The sequence below is a fragment of the Homo sapiens genome, chromosome 2, assembly GCF_000001405.40.
Source record: "Homo sapiens chromosome 2, GRCh38.p14 Primary Assembly".
Taxonomy (NCBI): domain Eukaryota; kingdom Metazoa; phylum Chordata; class Mammalia; order Primates; family Hominidae; genus Homo; species Homo sapiens.
This window is the reverse complement of record NC_000002.12, coordinates 6,751,196-6,770,556: the sequence shown is the minus strand read 5'-3', so window position 1 is coordinate 6,770,556 and position 19,361 is coordinate 6,751,196. Positions and strand designations below refer to the sequence as shown.

The window sequence follows — 19,361 nt, the reverse complement described above, 5'->3', positions numbered from 1 at the left end:
CATGGGAAAAGTGTGCAAATACAGAACAGCCCTTCCAGGAAGGAACTATTTTCTCCGAAACAGGAAATTGTTGTACATTCAGACACACCATAAATACACGTCTAGTTTGTACATGGCAATTCCAGGGTCTGAGGCTCTTCCTTCCTGGCCCTAGAATGGCGTCTCTTGCGCTGTGGGCTTCCTGTTGAGGCAGGGGCTGAGGAGGTGGGAAGCAGAGGCTGAGATTTTCCTTCACCACGGTCACAGAAGATGCGCTGTTCCAGGGGCCTGGGTGGGAGCAGCCCAGGAGCCTGCGTCTCCCCTCCTCGGCCCTGGGAGGCGGCTGGACTGTGCCACACGGGACGGGTGCTGAGGGACCGCTGGGTGCCCACCTCCCTGACCCCTCCTGCAGGGGTGCCTGCCAAGCAGCCTGGGCACTGCCGTCTGGAAGATGCGCCGTGCCGGTTCTACACGGTGTTCCCTTGCTCCAGGCAGAAAGGTCAGTCCAGGCTTCTCACTCCATCGTGGCCAGAAGCCAAGTCTCATGGCATGAGATTCAACCAAAGAGAATCTCCTGGAGCTTCTTTACCTCATCAGACTTATATCCCACACAACACACACACACCCCCATCCATAAATGTGTGTATGTATATACCACACACGTACACACACATATGCCACACACATGCACACCACACACACAGAATGAATACACATACACCACACACATAAACACACACGTGTGTATGTATATATCACACACTTAAACACACGCATGCCACACACGTGCACACCACACACACAAAATGAATACACAGACACCACACACACAAACACAGAGATATCACACACATACATACACACACCATGCAACACACAAACATGCATACACATATTCCACACACAGAAACACACAGACACCACACATATACACACAGACATGCATACACACAACACACATATAAACACACAAATGCCACACACCAACACATGCCACACACAAACATGCACACACATACACCACACACATAAACACACAATACCACACACATACACAGACACTAACACACACTACACAAACATGCACACACATACACTACACACAAAAATACACAGATACCACACACATACACAGACACTAACACACACTACACAAACATGCATACACATACACCACAGATGTAAACACACAGATACATACATACACACACACCAACACCCACACTACACACATAAACACATGCATCATATGTAACACACATTACACAGACTTATATCCCACACAACACACACATACCCACATTCAACACACACACTTGCTCACACCCCTTCCCACACAATCCAACACACACACCCCCACATTCAACACACACGCATGCTCACACCCCTTCCCACACAACCCAACACACACACACCCACATTCAACACACACACTTGCTCACACCCTTTCCCACACAACCCAACACACACACACCCACATTCAACACACACATATGCTCACACCCCTTCCCACACAACCCAACACACACACACACACGCCTCCACGTACATCTTTTTATGGTAGTTATTTTTTTGTAAGTAAAATATTTGTATAATATCAGCTTATTGTTTGCCATAGCATAACTTATTTCAAACTTGTCCAACCTGCAGCCCATGTGGCCTGGGGTGGCTTTGAATGCAGCCCAACCCAAATTTGTAAACCTTTTAAAAACATTGAGATTTCTCAGCTATGATTTTCTTTAGCTCATCAGCTATTGCTAGTGTGGTGTATTTTATGTGTGGCCCAAGACAATAATTCTTCTTCCAATGTGGCCCAGGGAAGCCAAAAGACTGGACGCCCCTGAATTATGTGGTTCTCATCCTAGGTGATTTTGCCCCTGGAGGTAGGTGGAAAGTCTGGAAACATTTTTGGCGATCGCAGCTGGAGGGGGCTCTTGGCATCTACGGGTGGAGCCAGGGTTTAGGGTGTGTGCAGCACCAAAGGCTCGATGCCTCCCCAACACCAAAGAACCCTCTGAGCCCGTAGTGCGGAGACCAGAAACCCGATTTCAATTTCCTAGTAAAAGAAAACGGAAATGAAAACGACAAAACGGTCCTGTGTCTTCTCTCTTCTCGGTGCAGCTATCTGGATGGGGCGACTTGGAATTCCGAGTCTAGGCCTTGCACTGATTTTCCCCCCTGACATCTGGGAAGCCATTTCACTGTTTAAAACCAAAGATGCTGAGTGGCAGCTGCCACCAATTGGAAGGGGACAGGAGAAAGGGATTTTTATGAAGAGCCTGTGTGCCTTGGATGCTGCAGGTGGAGACCTCTGCAGTTTGTCCAGCAACTGCCTGCCAGAGATGGGCCAGAGAAGGGCCAAGCAGCTCCCTCCTATCGGAGGTCCACAGGTGGACCCCCACCCCCAGTCTCCATCCCCGGTCCACGCCCCAGTCCCTGCTGGTGGGGAAGCTGGGGAGCAGGCCATGCGTGTAATTCCAGAAGCTATTGCATGGCAAAGGCTACGTGCCCTCAAAGCCCGGGCACCTCCCTGGCCCCACAACTGCTTCACACAATACTTGTGTTTCTGTACGTTCTATGTGAAGTTTCAGGAAAGAATCTGTAAGTGATGTCTAAAGCAAGTTTCTGAATATTTATGCTGTAATACACGGCCATGAGCATGCTGGCTACTCATTTCTAATCCTATGACAAATGCACAAGGGCAGGTACTGGGAGAGTGAACTGTTTCCCTGGCCAGGGACCCAAGCACCACTTGGGGCATCAGAAGGAAGCCCTCTGGTTTTGGCCAAGGAGAAGCTTGCACTGTTTTACTAGAAACGTCCTATGTGAATCCATCCTCTGTGATTCCACGACTTTGTATGACTTGCTTGGTGCTTCCAAGGACGTAGGAACTGAAGGGTGGGGCATGTTCTGTGCACTTTTGTCATGGGAAAGCTGGCTTTTGGGAAACCCCCTGGCCCCACAGTTGCTCCCAGAAGCCATACTGGGGGAAGGGCCTGGGGAATGTTCCCAGAGGGTCATGTTGCCTTGATTCATCCTGATGGGGATTTGGGGAAGGGCGAGTGACACCATCATGACTGGGTGCGCCCAGACTGCCTGTCTGCCCTGCTATTTAGAAGCAATATTAGCGAGGGCTATAGTTTTTTTTTCTTTCTTTTTTTTTTTTTTTTTTAATCAGTAAAAATGAGTTCCTAACTTTAGTTCAGAGTCTTAGTTAGGTTTCAGTTTCAGAGAACTCTTTCAAAAAAGGGAATATGTTAGAAGGCCCACAGTGGCCCTTAATAATTTTGAATTAGCGTTAGAATGAGACACCTGATGGCAGTGATTCCGAGTGGAGACCCTGGGCCAGCGTCCCCAGCACCGCCTGGGAACCTGTGAGAAGCACAGCTTCTGGGCCACACCGTAGAGCTGTCTTTACATTTTATACCTCTTCAAACACCGCATAGTCTCACTCATAAGTGGCAGTTGAACAATGAGAACACGTGGACACAGGGAGGGAATATCACACACTGGGGCCTGTTGGCGGGTGGCGGGGCTAGGGGAGGAATAGCATTAGGAGAAATAACTAATGTAGATGAGGGGTTGACGGGTGCAGCAAACCACCATGACACGTGTATACTCATGTAACAAACCTGCATGTTCTGCACATGTATCCCAGAACTTAAAGTATAATATAAAAAGAAAAAAAAATTTATAACTCTTCCAGCAGTTTCTATCCATAGCACATAGAGCTTGTGTTTTGGTTTGGTTTTGCTTAATTTTCACAAGCCTGCAGTTGAAAGTGAAATGAGATGAGGTTAGCGAAAAGAGGCAGGAACTCTGGAACCTTAAGGTCCTACAACTTCAAATGTGTCACTGGCAATAACCTGGCTGCCATTTTGGTTTTGTCTAAATGAAAGCAATGATCAGTTAGTGTTATATAAGATATAAACATTTAAAATGTTCAAAATTCCCTAATCTTTCAGAAATGTAAATTGAGACAAAGAAAGGTCAGGGTTTCTCCTGGGACCACCCGTTGTCCCCAGATCAGACAAAAATCCAGTCTTCTGAATTCCCGTTGCAAAGTTGTGTTTGCATCACTGCATCTTGATCCTCTTCCTACTGCAATGTTTTAATTATCTAAAGAATAAGGGCATTAGATATGAGGGATAACATCATGAAGGATTTCCAAACAATTCGGTAGCCAGCGAAGATCACTGTTTGCTTAATTTCAATTGAGAGAGACAGGTCCGTCTTCTACAATGAATGCATTTTACACATTTTTAAATGTTTGCCTCATTTATGACATGTTTACCTTAAAAAAAATTTAATAAATGATTTTGGGCCAGGCGTGGTGGCTCATGCCTGTAATCCCAGCACTTTGGGAGGCCGAGGTGGGTGGATCACGAGGTCAGCAGATTGAGACCATCCTGGCTAACACGGTGAAACCCCATCTCTACTAAACATACAAAAAATTAGCTGAGCATGGTGGCACGTGCCTGTAATCCCAACTACTCGGGAGGCTGAGGCAGGAGAATCGCTAAAACCTGGGAGGTGGAGGTTGCAGTGAGCCGAGATCGCACCACTGCACTCCAGCCTGGGTGACAGAGAGAGACTCCATCTCAAAAAAAAAAATTTCATAAAGATGGGTTTTCTCTTATCCTGCCCAATCTTAACAGATGTTTGAAACCGACTCCCATAAAAAGTAGGCTTTGTAATCGAGTCTCAGAAAGTCTGAGGCTGCCTAGGTCTGCCGGATGCTCCCATTCGGTGACCTTGATACTAAACAGGAAAGGAAAGGGCAGCTCCATTTGCCCGAAGGCTTTTAACAGAGCTGGTGGGGGCTGCTCCACTGCCCCAGACCCTGGAAGAGAGTTGGGATCCAAGCCTGGGCGGAGGCCTTTCTGAAGTGAGAGGCTTTGTGGTAGGCACAGCCAGACACCATTGGTGGAACTGAATTTGTCATTTTACCTGGTCTAGAAATGAACCCTAAACAAAAATCTTCAAGTATCAGTAAGCTGAGGAGGAAGCTACTGGGGCTGTTGAAGTGCTTGGTGTCGAAACATCTACGTTGGAGGGTGACGCCGCCAGGTGTGCCTGTTGGCTTGGTTGATTCTTCTTGCCGATATGCAGCCTGGACTTCTCAATGCAGAAAGCAGAGGCTCCTGACTCCAGAGATATCTTTCAGGCAGTGATTTCCTTTAAAAGAAAATAAATAGTTTCAAAATATAGTGAATAAACTTGCATGTGAATAAACTTGGAAAGCACGTTAGCCTATATTACCAAGTTGTATTTGAGCACACTCATTTCAGGGAGTAAATTTTTAACATGTGTTCAAGGGTGATAAGAATTGTGCCTATTCTCTGACTCCTCTATGTACATAAATTACAGGATAGTCAGGTATTGACATGGAGATCAGGGACAGAGCAAACTCAGTTTCACCATGGGCTCATTTACATGTCAATGCCAGACCAGGGCTGTTTGATTACTTTGCTCTTGTCTGAGATCCCAGGGCAAGTAAGAACAAACAGACGTATTTGTGGATCTAGAATTTCTTTCTCTTACTCATATGTATATGCGTATGTGTATGTGTGTATAAGTGGACAGATGATATATCAGAATATGAGCATTCTAGAACTCTTATTTTATAGTGCATTTTGTGCAGTAGTGACTGTAACGATGGTTTAACATTTGGATAGCAATGTGAAATAATGAACAAAACGGTTTATGAGGCCTCGGGTGGAATGTCTCCAATGGTATTTATCGATTCCAAAGGAAAATATCTAAACCATTTCAACTGTGTTGATCCTTTTTAGGCCATATCTTCTTCTGTCTCTATTGGCTCTACCGAACCAGATCAACTCAAGGTGCAGCCTCAGTTGGGCACTGTCTCCTTGTGGCCATGTTCCTGGGGAAAGGCATCTTCTTCAGCTGGGACAGTTGTCACTATTCACATTTGGTAGCAAGTGAGAAAACGGATTTGTCCTTTAATTGGACAAGCACTGTTGACAGGGTGATAGATTTCCTGGCTGTCTAAAGTGCACATCTGGTATTTTCCACTGCCTGGCATCCCTTCCCATCCTCTTCTGGATGCAGCACTTTTTTCCTATGGAGCGACGCCTCTTCCACTCCATAGTGTGGTCCAAGATTGGCCGTTCCTTGTTTTCTGTCTTCCTGGCTGGAGTGGTTAACACAGCGGCAAGCATAGGCCCCAGGGGACTATGCTCTGGGAGGACTGTGGACTCTGGGAGGAAGACCATCTCTTTTTCTAGATTCACCAGGCCGAGATGATGAAAACCGGATCTTTTTGTGGTCATGCATCACCCTTCCCTGCTGCAAGAAAGAAAGCTGTCCATATTATCAGAAAATGGTATCAGCCCATTGAAAGAGTGGATGCTGAGAGATACAGAGAAAATGTTGACTGGGTCATTTGTGTCCCTCGACTCTAGAAGTCAGCACCAACTTTTAACTTCCCACTTAGTGTGAGTGAATAAATTCTCTTTTTGGCTTCAGCTAGTTTGGGTTGTGCTGGGCACTTGCTACTGAAATAATTCAGGATAATACACCATGTTACAGTATCACTAATTGTTGTGCATATCATGTTTATGACACTATTTAAAATCATCAACTCTAAGTACATTGTGGACATTTCTAGAAACCTCTAGAAGAAATCAATAGCAAATTTTCCCATACGCTTTCTTCCCTTCTCTTCCTTTTTTCTCATGGTGGATATCAGAATATTGTCTGCAAATATCACCAGCACTCACCACCCAATTCAAATCCATCTACTTAGAAATATATGTTCTTTTTTAATGTAAGATTTTATTTTATTTTATTTTATTTGAGACGGAGTCTTGCTCTGTCGCCCAAGCTGGAGTGCAGTGGCGCGATCCCGGCTCACTGCAAGCTCCGCCTCCCGGGTTCACGCCATTCTCCTGCCTCAGCCTCCCGAGTAGCTGGGACTACAGGTGCCCGCAACCACACCCGGCTAATTTTTTGTATTTTTTAGTAGAGACGGGGTTTCACTGTGTTAGCCAGGATGGCCTTGATCTCCTGACCTCATGATCCGCCCGCCTCGGCCTCCCAAAGTGCTGGGATTACAGGCATGGGCCACCGCGCCTAGCCTAATGTAGGATTTTTAAAGACAGCAAAGAGAGTGTAGTACAAAAAAAACACAGTATATTAAGTCATTCACTTAAGGATTTTATAAATGCACACAGTAAAAAGCTGTTGTAAGATCCAAGCTTTTTCAATTGGTATTATGTCAGGGTGCCCCTAGAATACTAAGTCCCGCCTTGGCTCAGCCACTGCCCCACCTGTAAGTGAACTATAAACTGGAGGAGGGTGAGAGGTGCACCTCACCACTCCATTATTGTAGCCGCCACCACATTGGAGTCAAACCTCAGCTCAGGAGCAGAGTAAACTGAAGAATTTACTTCCCTTTTGTTAGTTTAGTTTTTTTTTTTTTTTTTCCAAAAGCACTGAGTGTCTACTGCTGAGTATTGCTATGCCAAATTTAAAATTGAGCATTTTCACCTTGGATGATGTAAATTATATGCTTTTGAAAAGTGCCATCTGAATTGCATTTCTGTTTAAATCTATTTATCCCCTCATATTTGTTACACTTACAATCATTCATGAAAGTGTTCAGGATTCTTGCAAGGTTGTGTGTTTGTCAAAATGATGAAACTCTGCCTCGTATCTGTCCATGTGTTGTATACAAGTTCTACCTCAATTAGAAACAACACGACAAGAGCAACTACAAATGCACACTTAGGGACAGCGTGTCCTCTCACCCAAGAGCATCTATAAGAGCATTTGCAGCTGGCTTCTTTAATGAAGTCACCTACAGCTTTTGGGTTTGGGAATCGAGGGAGGCATGTCATCGGGCCCTTCGCAGGTCTCCTCTGACTCCTGTCTGTGGAGTCTCCCTCTTCTCTCATGAATACACTGTAACTTAAACCATTGCTTCGCAAGAGCCTTGCAGTCAATGACACACCTATCTGGACCTCAGCAAGATTCCAAATTAGTCCATGGCATATACTAGGAAGCTATAAAAAGGAAAATATTTAGTGAGCGTTGGAGAATTAAAAATCTTTTTTCTTTGTCGTCTGTATTAGTCAGGGTTCTCTAGAGGGACAGAGCTAATGGGATGCATGTGTATATAAAGGGGAGTTTTTTAATGAGTGTTGACTCACCTGATCACAAAGTGAAGTCCCACAATAGGATGTCTGCAATCTGAGGAGCCAGGAAGCCAGTCCGAGTCCCAAAATCTCAAAAGTAAGGAGACTGACAGTGCAGCCTTGGACACTGTCTCCTTGTGGCCATGCTCCTGGGGAAAGGCATCTTCTTCAGCTGGGACAGTTGTCACTTCAGCTGGGAGAGTCTGTTGCCAACAGCCCGAGAGCCCCTGGCAAACCACTGGTGGAAGTCCCAGAGTCCAAAAACTGAAGAACTTGGAGTCAGATGTTTGAGGGCAGGAAACATCCAGCATGGGAGAAAGATCAGGCCAGAAAACTTAGCTAGTCTAGTCCTTCCTCGTTCCTCTGCCTGCTTTTATCCTAGTTGTGCTGGCCGCTAATTAGATTGTGCCCACCGGGACTGAAGGTCCCATGGTGGTCCCCCAGTCCATGGACTCAAATGTTAATCTCCTTTGGCAGCACCCTCACAGACACACCCAGGAACAATACTTTGCATCCTTCAGTCCAATTAAGTTGATACTCAATATTAACCATCAGTCTTGTCTTCCTTCTTCTTGTTGCTTAAGCATTGTTCATGAGACTTTAAAGTCCTCTGTCCTTCAATATCTATGAGGTTAGGCAACCTGGTGATTATTTGCAACCATTGTAGTCTTGAGACATGTTTTTCCTTCCTTCACTTGTTTATGTAGGTGCCGTACCTACAATGCTACTGAGAGCCAAAGAAGGGATTTTTGCCACACCTGCTATGTGTGGCACAGTAGACTCTTAGCTTTTCTAGACATCTAAGTGTAGGTGCTAGATATCTAAGTGTCTAGCACCTACATTTAGATATCTAGAAAAGCTAAGAGCCTACCGTGCTTATGGATGGATGCTAAGCTCCAAGAACACAAATGCTGACAAGCAGAATATAGAGAGGACTTCAGATAACTAATCTTTCTACATGGGGAACAAGTTGCTGAGTCTCTTCTGTTGCAATCATGATTGGGGTAAGGAGGATCCTGAAATTGGGGGAATATTAGGAAATATTGTGCAAGGGAAGGAGATTGGAAACTATTGATGTGGTGGACAAATATGTCCACCTTTAAGAAAAGTGTGAAGGTTCACGTTACCTGTCCCTCAAACAGCTCTTGGGTATCACTAGGATAAGAACATCTTGCAAATCTACAACCAGATTGGCCATGGCCTTTATGGGTTGCCCCACAGTTTAGATACAGTGCCCCAGCAGGGGTCCAGGGTGAGTCAAACATGAACATTATGTCTGTGAACACCTGGCCTCTACTATAACAGCAAGATTAGAATGATTAGATTTTTTTTAATAGATAAGCAAGACCGCTTCACAGACATTGAAATAATCTAACAGGGCTATTCAGTCTGCAGAATCAAATCCTTTTAAAAGGAGATCCTGAAAGGAGCTTCAGGTAAGAAAGACCCCAAATCTGAATATCGTCAATGGTATAGTGAACAAACCTCTAAGTCTGAATGCAAGGGCCCTGGATCTTTCAACATCTAGCTATGTAACTTTGATTATGTCATGTTTTTGCTCCCCAGGACCTACTGTCTTATAATGTCCGGGCTTTCCCTTTTGTCCTTTTCTTTCTTTCTCTAGCAGCTTCTCTCCCCTCACCAGCTTACTCTCCTCTCCTCCATTGCCCCATTGCTGAAGGATGGGGTTACTCAGCTTGGTCTTGGACCCTGCTCTCTATCTGTCCTTTTTGGGCACTGTCTTGTTCACTCTTGTGTCTGGGAAGCATGCCTGGCACAACTGGCTTTCAAATACCTGGAGGAATGAATGAGTGAGTGAATAAAGGCAAGAGAGTTCCAGAGCTGGGTGATCGTTAGGAGACAATGCAGCCATAGAGTATGTGCATGCACACGCACACACACCACGCATGCACACACACATACATGCACACCACACAGATGTGCATACACATCACACATGCATGCACACCACCTCCTCACATATCACACACCACACACACATCACATCCACACACACATACATGTACACTCACACTATACACCTCCTCACCCTTCACACACCACACACATGCAAACCACACACATGCACACCACACACATGCACATACCCGTCACACATGTGTGCATACCACACAATCACACACATGCATGTACACACACATGCATACCTAAGCACACTCACACTACACACACACCATGCACCTCCTCACATATCACACACCACACACATCACACCCGCACATACATGTGTACTCACGCTATACACCACCACACACTGCACACACCACACATACATGCACACATACACCATACACCCCCACACTTCATAAACCGCACAGCCATCACACCCACACATACATGTGAACACACACCATGCAACTCCACACACACCACACACAACACACACACAAGCACACCAACACTATGCACCTCCACAAACACATAATACACACAGATACACACATACACACCATGCACCTCCACACATATCACACACCACACACAGAGCACACGCCCACATGCACACACACACCACACACACACAAACACACATGCACCATACCTCCATATATACCACACACACCACACACATGCACACAAACATACCCCTTCACACCCCACAGACACACATCCCACACACCCACACCCACACATACCACAAACACACACCACATACACACCACACACACAAATCCCTCCCCCCTACTCTCAGCTCACACACACAGAGCTGTCACTTCATCACCAAGAAGAGAAGTTGAGTTTTCTGTACAGCCTTTCCTTTGCACTGTGGGAGTGCCACATCTAGAACTTTCAGATAGGGGACCCTCAATACCACATAAATCTGTTGACAGATCAGAGGGGCTTACAAAAGAAATCGTGATGAAGGGACCAAAGAGATGGATGTATCAGCGAAATTAAACATGCTCGATGCATCCAGCTTTCCCGGAACGCTGTGCAGCATGAGCAGGAGAGGCTGTACAGAACCTGGAACGTAGAGTTGGGACAGAGGTGAGTTCCTGAACAGTGTGCATGGATTGGTGAGTGGAGGGCAGAGCCTGAATGGAAGCTTGAGGCCCGTTAGCCTGAGGAACTGCCCTCCCAGGGCTCTCATGGCGGTACTTTTATTGTTGGATGGGAAAATCTACCAAAGGCAGATATGAGAATTAGAGTTTGCTGCTTCCAGCATTTCTTAATTTTCAAGTGAGGTCCATATTCTGAAAGTCTTTGAAAGAGGAGAGGAACTTGTTGGAAAAGTGTTATTATTTTTTAATATTTATTCTAATTTCTTACTAATTATGGGGCTCAAACTCAAGTTTGTATGAGCCTCAAATTCAGCATAGATGGTCAGAGGTTCAGATGAAATAAAGTTTTTCAGAGAATGAAGTGTGAATGGGTAGTTTCCTCCATATCTATACTGTATTAGTTTACTATTGCTGCTGTAATGAATTACTAGAAGCCTAGCAGTTTAAGCAACACAGATGCATTATCTCAGTAGTTCTATAGCATAGAAATAGGGCACTGGTCACACCGGGCTAAAATCAAAGAGTTGCTACAGCCGTGTCCCATTCTGGAGGCTCTGGGGAGAAATCCACTTTCCCACCTTTTCTAGCTGCTAGAAGCCGCCCGTATTCCTCGGCTCCTGGGCCCCTTTGTTTGTCTCCAAGGCCATCAAGCTGCAGCTCTCTGTGCCTTTCTTGGGTAGTCACATTTCCCTCTGCTCTCACCCTCTGCCTCCCTCTTCCACATTTAAGGGCCCTTGGGATTGCAATGGCCTCACCTGGATAGTCCAAAACGATCTCCCTATTTTAACATCAGCTGATCTGCATCCTTGATTCCATCTGCAACCGGAATTTTGCTTTGCCGTGTACCAACCTCTTCACAATTTCTGGGGATTAGGACATGGGCACCTGTGGGAGAGGCATGACTCTATTGACCACATCCGTTCTGGAAGTCTACGGGGAGGTGAGCAGATTGAGGCAGAACAGGGCCTTTCAACAGCTTCCCAGCTCTGGACTCGAGGGCCAGGCTCTCCAGTGACCTGTGCCATTTTGAAACCCATATCGAGTTCATATTAGTCTTGAATGCTCAGACTTGGCATACATTATCTTAGTATATTTCACTCACACACTCACATCCACACAAAACAAAAACGAACAAACCATAAAAACAGTGTGTGGCAGTCCTTCACAGTCAGAGTCCCAATAGGAAAGGAAGGCTGGTTCCAATCAGGAGTGAGTCTTTACCAACGGGCTAAGCTCTGATCTGCTCAGGGGGTGAAGGTTCCAGGTTCTAGAAGCAGCTGGGCTGCCACCACCCAGAAAGGCTGAGGAGAGGACAGATTGTCTCAGTTTTTCAGAAGAGAACGTCCTTTGATGCAGGGGGCCTTGAGAGAACAGTTTCTTTGAAGGGACACATTGAGCCCAAGAACCTTCACAGGGAAGAAGCCAGAAAGTCGAATCCTCAGACGCCACTCTCCTCTGTTACTCTCATCCATTTAATCCAGCTGGAAGCCAGGGCATGGCTTGGCCTGGAAGCAGAGTGGCCGCGGGTGGGGACCTGAGGGCACACAAGAGGCCTTGGGTGCATCTCAGAGATGAGGAAACCCAGGGACAGAGAAGTGAGGTCCATCACTAAGGTTCAATAGTCAGGATGTCTGGAGGCTGGGGTTAGGGGCCCAGCGGTTTAATTCCAGAGCGTTGCTCTCTCTGGGATATCACATCAGCCATAGGAGGAGTCATTTTTTGTGCATCTGTTATAACAATGGGAAGGTGACAGAGTGCGGCAGGAAGCACTCTTCCCCCGGGCAACTGAGAAGGTGCCCAGTGAAAGTCAGAAGCAGAGCGAGAGCTAAGGAGCAGTGAATGTGGGGAAAGGGCACTTCGGGGAGAATCCCTGCATTGGAAATGCATGTGGCAATCAACAGAGGCAAAGGAGCCTGTGGGACTCACATTCCCCTGCAGTGATCGGAGCACACTGCAAACAAGGTGACAAAGGGCGCCAGTTCTTTGGTTCTGCCTGCCAGCTGCAAGGGCAGGGATCGATGAATGCCCTCGGTTGCTCTGAGCCGCAGTGTTCAGGGCGGGGATACCTGGGTGGCCAGGGCTGAGTGGGCCTAGAAGGGACTCCCTTTCTAGCAATGGCCCTGACTTAAATCTTGGATGAGCAACTCTAGGAAGGTACCGAACCCACATGACTTTAATTGGCAGCAACCTAGGAAGTGCTTATGATGACTTGGGGTCCTCATATATTTGCAATTCTTTAAACAGATTTGAAGCTCCCCAGCAAAACTTCTGCAACTGTACACAGTATTAATAAAATTGTATTCCGATCACAAATTAAACATGGGTTTGGATGGAAGAGCTCTAAATAATTCTCCATAATGACCTGATTAATTATGAAATGACCTGTTGTGATATATCTGGATAAATAGCACCTCTAGCTCCTGGAAACTTAACTTTCATCTTGATAAAATTAAAACAATAAAAAAAATCCTGTACTTCTATGATCATGGATGTCAAATAAAAAATTTCAACATTTCGAATATGAAAGGCAACATTTAAAATTTTGTGGAAGGGCCTTCCTCTTCCAGCTCATTTTATGAGTACATATTCCATAATGAAAAGAAAATGTCATGCTCCTATAATAACAATAATCTTTCTGCATATTTTCTTTTTTCTTGAGCCTGTTTGTTTAGATTGAAGGTGTTTCTAATAAGTTATGTTTGATATGAATATCTGGAAAGATCAATGCAGCTTATCTCCTTGCATTAAAATTCTATATATGTGTTCCCCCTTCTACTGAATAAAGCAATTTAGGCTTTTTCCTAGTGTAATCAATAAAATGAAATCTAAAAAAGAGAAAAAAATTACTACGTTGTCCTTGTTCAGCTGCTGAATGCAGATGACTTTTCTTAAAGCAAGAGAACGTTCTTAAAAACGGATTTCATTGATTTCTAAAAGCAAATGTATGTAATTTTTAAGATGGAAAAAATAACATTACCCAGCCAAGTCAATGACACTATAGTGCTATGTTATTTATAAGATCATGTATCCATTTATTCCCATGAGCAAGGCAAAATATAATCTAAGGTGCTACTGCTCCTTAGGTTAAAAAGGGTGCATACACCAGCATGCATGGGGATTGTCTGAGACTATACAATGCCTGACATCTGTTTTCTTTCTTAAAAAATAAATTCAATATATTTTAAGATTTCAGCAGTATTAAATGCAAAAATGGCTCATATTTCAAGGTGAAAGCCCTCTGTTGACTAAAGATGCTTCCATTTTTATTGCAATTGTGGTTCTTGCCTTTTTTTTGGTAAACTTTTTCCATCAGAAGCTGGTGGATGGAAGTATTTATAGTTCAGTTTCATTTAACTATGTTCATTTGTACTGATCTGAGACAGATTTATATGATCATAGATTTCTGGTGTCACTGTTGTATTATTTATATTTCTATAAATTAAGGCCATTATTATCAAAGATGGCCCCTGACAATAGGAGGCGGCTGTTGGAAATAGTGTTTAATATTTTCTTAGCCCTGATGAATTCTCTATGGATTGTATCCTGATGCAGACTAAGAAATCATTGTCTTTGCTGGAAAAAAGGAGGTGTTGAGTAATAATAATAAGTCACTAACGAAAGACAAAAATTTCAGGGCTATTTGTAGACACTGGTTTTTAATCTTCCTAATGATAGCCCCTGACGATAAATAGATGAGCGGGATAATGTATGGCTGAGAACACAGACGAGCGGAGCTTCTCTCCCTCCCCCTGCCTGAGATTAGCCTCTAGGACACATTCACATCATGCATTTTCAATCTTCCTTTTATCTCTGTATTGGAGTGCGACATCTCCACCAAGCAGTTTTAAGCAAGGGCTTTATGACAGATGGGGTACAGGAAAGGCTTTAGCTCTCTGTCACCAATAAAACAATCAAACTTAATTGGTGACTTCAGTATAAAACAGTTTATTTGTGACTTAACGATACTGCAAATTAATAATTAGGTTTAGAGGATGGGTACAGAAGAGACTAAGGAAAAATGGTTCTCTCAGACTGCTTTTAAACATCTCTTGATAGAACCAGTCTGGCTGGAAAAGCTTGAATCCTGGTGCTCTCATGCCCTAGTTGTGTGATATTGGTAAGTTGCATAAACTCAGTGAGCCTCAGCTTTTCTATCTGTGAAATCGGCATGTTAATGTCACAGGGTGAGGAGCTTAGATTCTAAAATAAATTAATATGAATTAAATTAAGATTGCTAAAATACATTCATTTACCAGTTGTCTATCTAGCACATAGTAACACAATGAGCTTTTATGAAAACATGAGAATATTTGTCAGTGAAACAATTAGACTTGTGAGCGTAAAACTTGTACTATGTGTTTGTTAGCTGTCACTAACAGTTATATCCTAAAAAAAAAATTTCTATATTATCCAAATTGGCTTTCTTTCCTATTTAGGTTAAGCTACGTGAGTGATCATTCATAAACATGCAGCAACACTCTCTGGTATAAATGTTGAAAACATCTCAACTCCATAAATAAGAAGAAAACCTAATATATTTAGTGATTATGATTTAGTGTTCGTTAAAGCACCACTTACCGTTACATGAATTGCAAGCAGAATAGAGGTGTGAACCCAGTGAGTCAAACAGCTCTGGGTTGAGAAAGCAAAGACTAATGACGGTACAGGTGCTGTTGCCCAGGGAGACACAGAGGCTAAGGGAAAGGTCTGGGCTTCGGTGTGAGGTGTGACTGCATCCTAATCCCAGCTCTGCCTCTAGCAGCCTTGTGCCCCTGGAGCACATGCCAGGCCTGTGATGGATTCCTGCTCTCCCCGGCCTCTCCTCCCCCACCATCACAACACAGCTCCGGAAGGCTCTTGCAGTCATGTTAGACGCAGAGGAAATTTGAATGTCCTGCAAAGGACGTGCCCAAGAGGTAAGCGGTGAGGGAGATCCCAGGGCCGCCAGAGTGCTGCCTTGCAGACACACCCTCTCCCAGTCCCAGATGTGGCCCCAGACTTTGTCATCTCAGGTGTACCCTAAGCTCAGAGTAAAAAAAAAAATGATAGAAAGGAAAGGGGGCCGTGGGTGACAGTCTGTCTCAAAAGAGACAGGTTTAGATTTTTATGTGAGAATTTGAGAGAAACTAAAATTTGTGTTGAAACATTCTTATTATGGAAAGCTGGACCCACTGCTTGAGGCTGGAAACTCATGGTTTTGAGACAGTAGCAGAAGAGACCCCCAGGTGGCCCTGGACTCCGCCTCTCCTCCGCAGCTGTGCCCCAGAGCTGCCAAAGAGAGGGCAGTCTCTCTCATTCAGTCATACCTTTGTGTGAAGCATACGAATGCCTTGGGAAATATGCTGTATGATGATATCTTTTTGGGTATAATTTATTTTCATCTTAACATTCTTCGCAGTCTAAGACTTTCCTTCCCTATTAGGTTGTAGGTCAAGATCTGCTAGAATTAACTCTCTGGAGGATAAGTTTATATTTAGTCAGAAAAAAATTAGTAGAAAAATGGGTAAAGATATTGTAGGACTTGCATTTAAGGGTGAGTTTTAGAAGGGTAGATATATCAGAAGCTAAAAGATAAATCAAGTAAATATTAGTTTCATAGTCTTATTCTGCTGTATGTGCCTAATCACTGTATAATTTTTTTTGTATAAGAATTCATCTGTAGTAGCAGATGTGGAATTTGCCTTGTAAGAACACTCAGGGCCTCATGGATCTTTGTGGGTTAAGGGGAAATGCAGGGATGTCTAGTTAGTAGGGGCTTGGAGGCAAACCATCTGGTTTTCACCTATCTTGTTTAAAAACATAATCTTGCAAAAAATCTGCAAGATATTCCATATCAGGTTGCTGAGAAAGATGACATGAGATCCAACACATGATGCTAGGATGATCTTATGAAGCAATCTGATCATGACACCCCCACTTCACATTGTATACCTCTATGGCTCAATATTTTTGAGAGAGCCCACGCTTGTTCTCACAAGGCACCCCACTCTCTCCAGAACAGGCTTCAGGTCTCTTTCTGGGGCCACCTGCAGAGAGCACACTGGGACTCTTGTTCTTGTCTTTGCCTTGCTATGCCTCCTGTGTCATCCCTGTCTGATTTAGGACTCTGATTTCTGTAGCTCCTGCCCTTGGACAGGCCCTTGGATCTGTCTCTGTCAGCATTTGACCTTTCCAGTGTTTGAAGCTCCACTTGAGTGCCTTAATCCATTTATGGTGCTATAACAAAATATCTGAGACTGGATAATTTATAGGGAACAGAAACTTACTTTCACACAGGCCTGGAAGCTGGGAAGTCCAAGATCATGGTGCTGGCTGGTTTGTTTGTCAGGTGAGAGCCCAGTCTCTCTGTTTCCAAGATGGTGCCTCGAATGCTGTGTCTTCACGTGGTGGAAGGCAGAGGGCCGAGGAGGGCTGAATGCTATGTAAAGCCTCTGTTATTAATATAAAGGCCCTCATCCCATTGACAAGAGAGGAGCCCTCGTGACCTAATCATCTCCTAAAGGCCCCACCTCTTAATACTACTGCATTGGGGTTTAAGTTTCAATAGGAACTTTGGAGGGGATACAAGCATTCAAACCATAGCATTGGTCAGCTAGGCTCTGGCTTGGTTTTACTCCGGAATTTACTAACATCTCATGTTCCTAACCCCTGACATAAGCCTCCCCCTGCTCCCAAGGAGAGGAACATTAACTGGGAAGTGTATGGAACAGCTGAAGTACAAATGAATTCTCCTTTCTAAGTCCTCCTTTCATGAGGATGGTTGTCATTGCTGTTCATGTTGGCTTCAGAGAATAAGGTCCACAGCTGAGCTCACACAAACTTTCCAGCTACGCTCATGTTGAAGGTTTTCTTTTCTGGTCTGGGGTCCATTTTCATCAAGGAAACTATTTAGGAGGATTGAAAGGAAGATAAACAAAGCCATCTGCAATTTCCCTTCTCTGTTTTCTGATTTTATAAGTTCTTTCACAAGGTCTTATTCTACTAGTTTCTATGATTAGGTTGGAAATTACAGATTGAGAGAAAAACCCTGAAGAATTGTGTGACTTTTATTCAATTATGCATATAGTAATATCAATTGTACAGGTTTTTTTTTTTGACAGTAACTTGTTCTGTAGCCCAGCCTGGAGTACAGTGGCACTATCATGGCTCACTGTAGCCTTGAACTCCTGGGCTCAAGTGATCCTCCTGCCTAACCCCCCTGAGTAGCTGGGACTACCAGTGCACACCACCATGCTCAGCTAATTACTTTTCTCTCTCTCTTTTTTTTTGTTTTTTTTGGCAGAGACAGGGTTTCACTATGTTGCTCAGGCTGGTCTCAAACTCCTGGCCTTCAGCTATTCTCATACCTCATCCTCCCAAAATGCTGGCATTACGGGAGCAAACCATTATGTTCAGCCCAATGATACATTTTTGTACATGTTTTAAGTGCATTATTTTTGCATTTTTAATTTTTATTTAATAGTCTGTTTTCCTCAGGGTAAAATGTCAAATGAAATATAATAAGAGCTTTCTCTTTAGGAGAAATATTCTGCACAGGATCCTGAGATGTGAAGTATGAGAACAGCCTTCGACTTAGTCTAGGGGGCCTCTGGTGGGTAGCACCATACGGAGCTCATGGTGAGCACCAAAAAAGCAGTGAATGCCTGAAAACCATACAGAATGTTTTGTGAATGAGCTTCCTTCACCCAGGGCATATTTCATGGCTTTCATTAGAATTTCAGAGCAATCTGAGACACTCAAAATTTAAAAACTACTAATCGAATACTTTGGATTTGCAGATGAGGGCTCCAGACTCACAAAAGGTTGAGTGATGAGTTAATGTCACAGTGGACGTGGGATTCCGTATTGTCACTAGACTCGTCAATGTGCCGTAGACCTAAGGACGTACCTCTACCAGCAAATGTAGGGGCATTGAGAGTTAGAACAATCTGTGCTATGTCTCCCCATTTTAGCTGGAAAGCGTTGAGCAAGTTCACCTAAAAGCCTCAGTTTTCTTGTTCTGTGAGTGAATATAACAATGATTGCACTCACATCCAAGAGTTGCTGTGACAATAAAAAAATACACGGTGTGTGAAAACAGACATAAGCTTCCAAGTCTCGAGAAAAGATTTATGAATCATCTTGGTAGTTTTCAGACCCATTGAAATATGAGAAAACTGAGGCTCCAAAGGATATGTAACCAAGTCCGTGCATCTTC

At 44.2% G+C, this 19,361-nt stretch overlaps 1 long non-coding RNA gene across 1 annotated transcript in view; it reads left to right on the top strand.

The window, feature by feature from the left end:
* Nucleotides 1–245: 245 nt before the first annotated feature.
* LINC00487 (long intergenic non-protein coding RNA 487) overlaps nt 246–19,361 on the top strand; it is a 41,144-nt gene continuing 22,028 nt past the window's right edge. Inside the window, exon 1 of the long non-coding RNA NR_038369.1 lies at nt 246–478. This is a non-coding gene — a long non-coding RNA (long intergenic non-protein coding RNA 487). The remainder of the gene's footprint in view (nt 479–19,361) is intronic.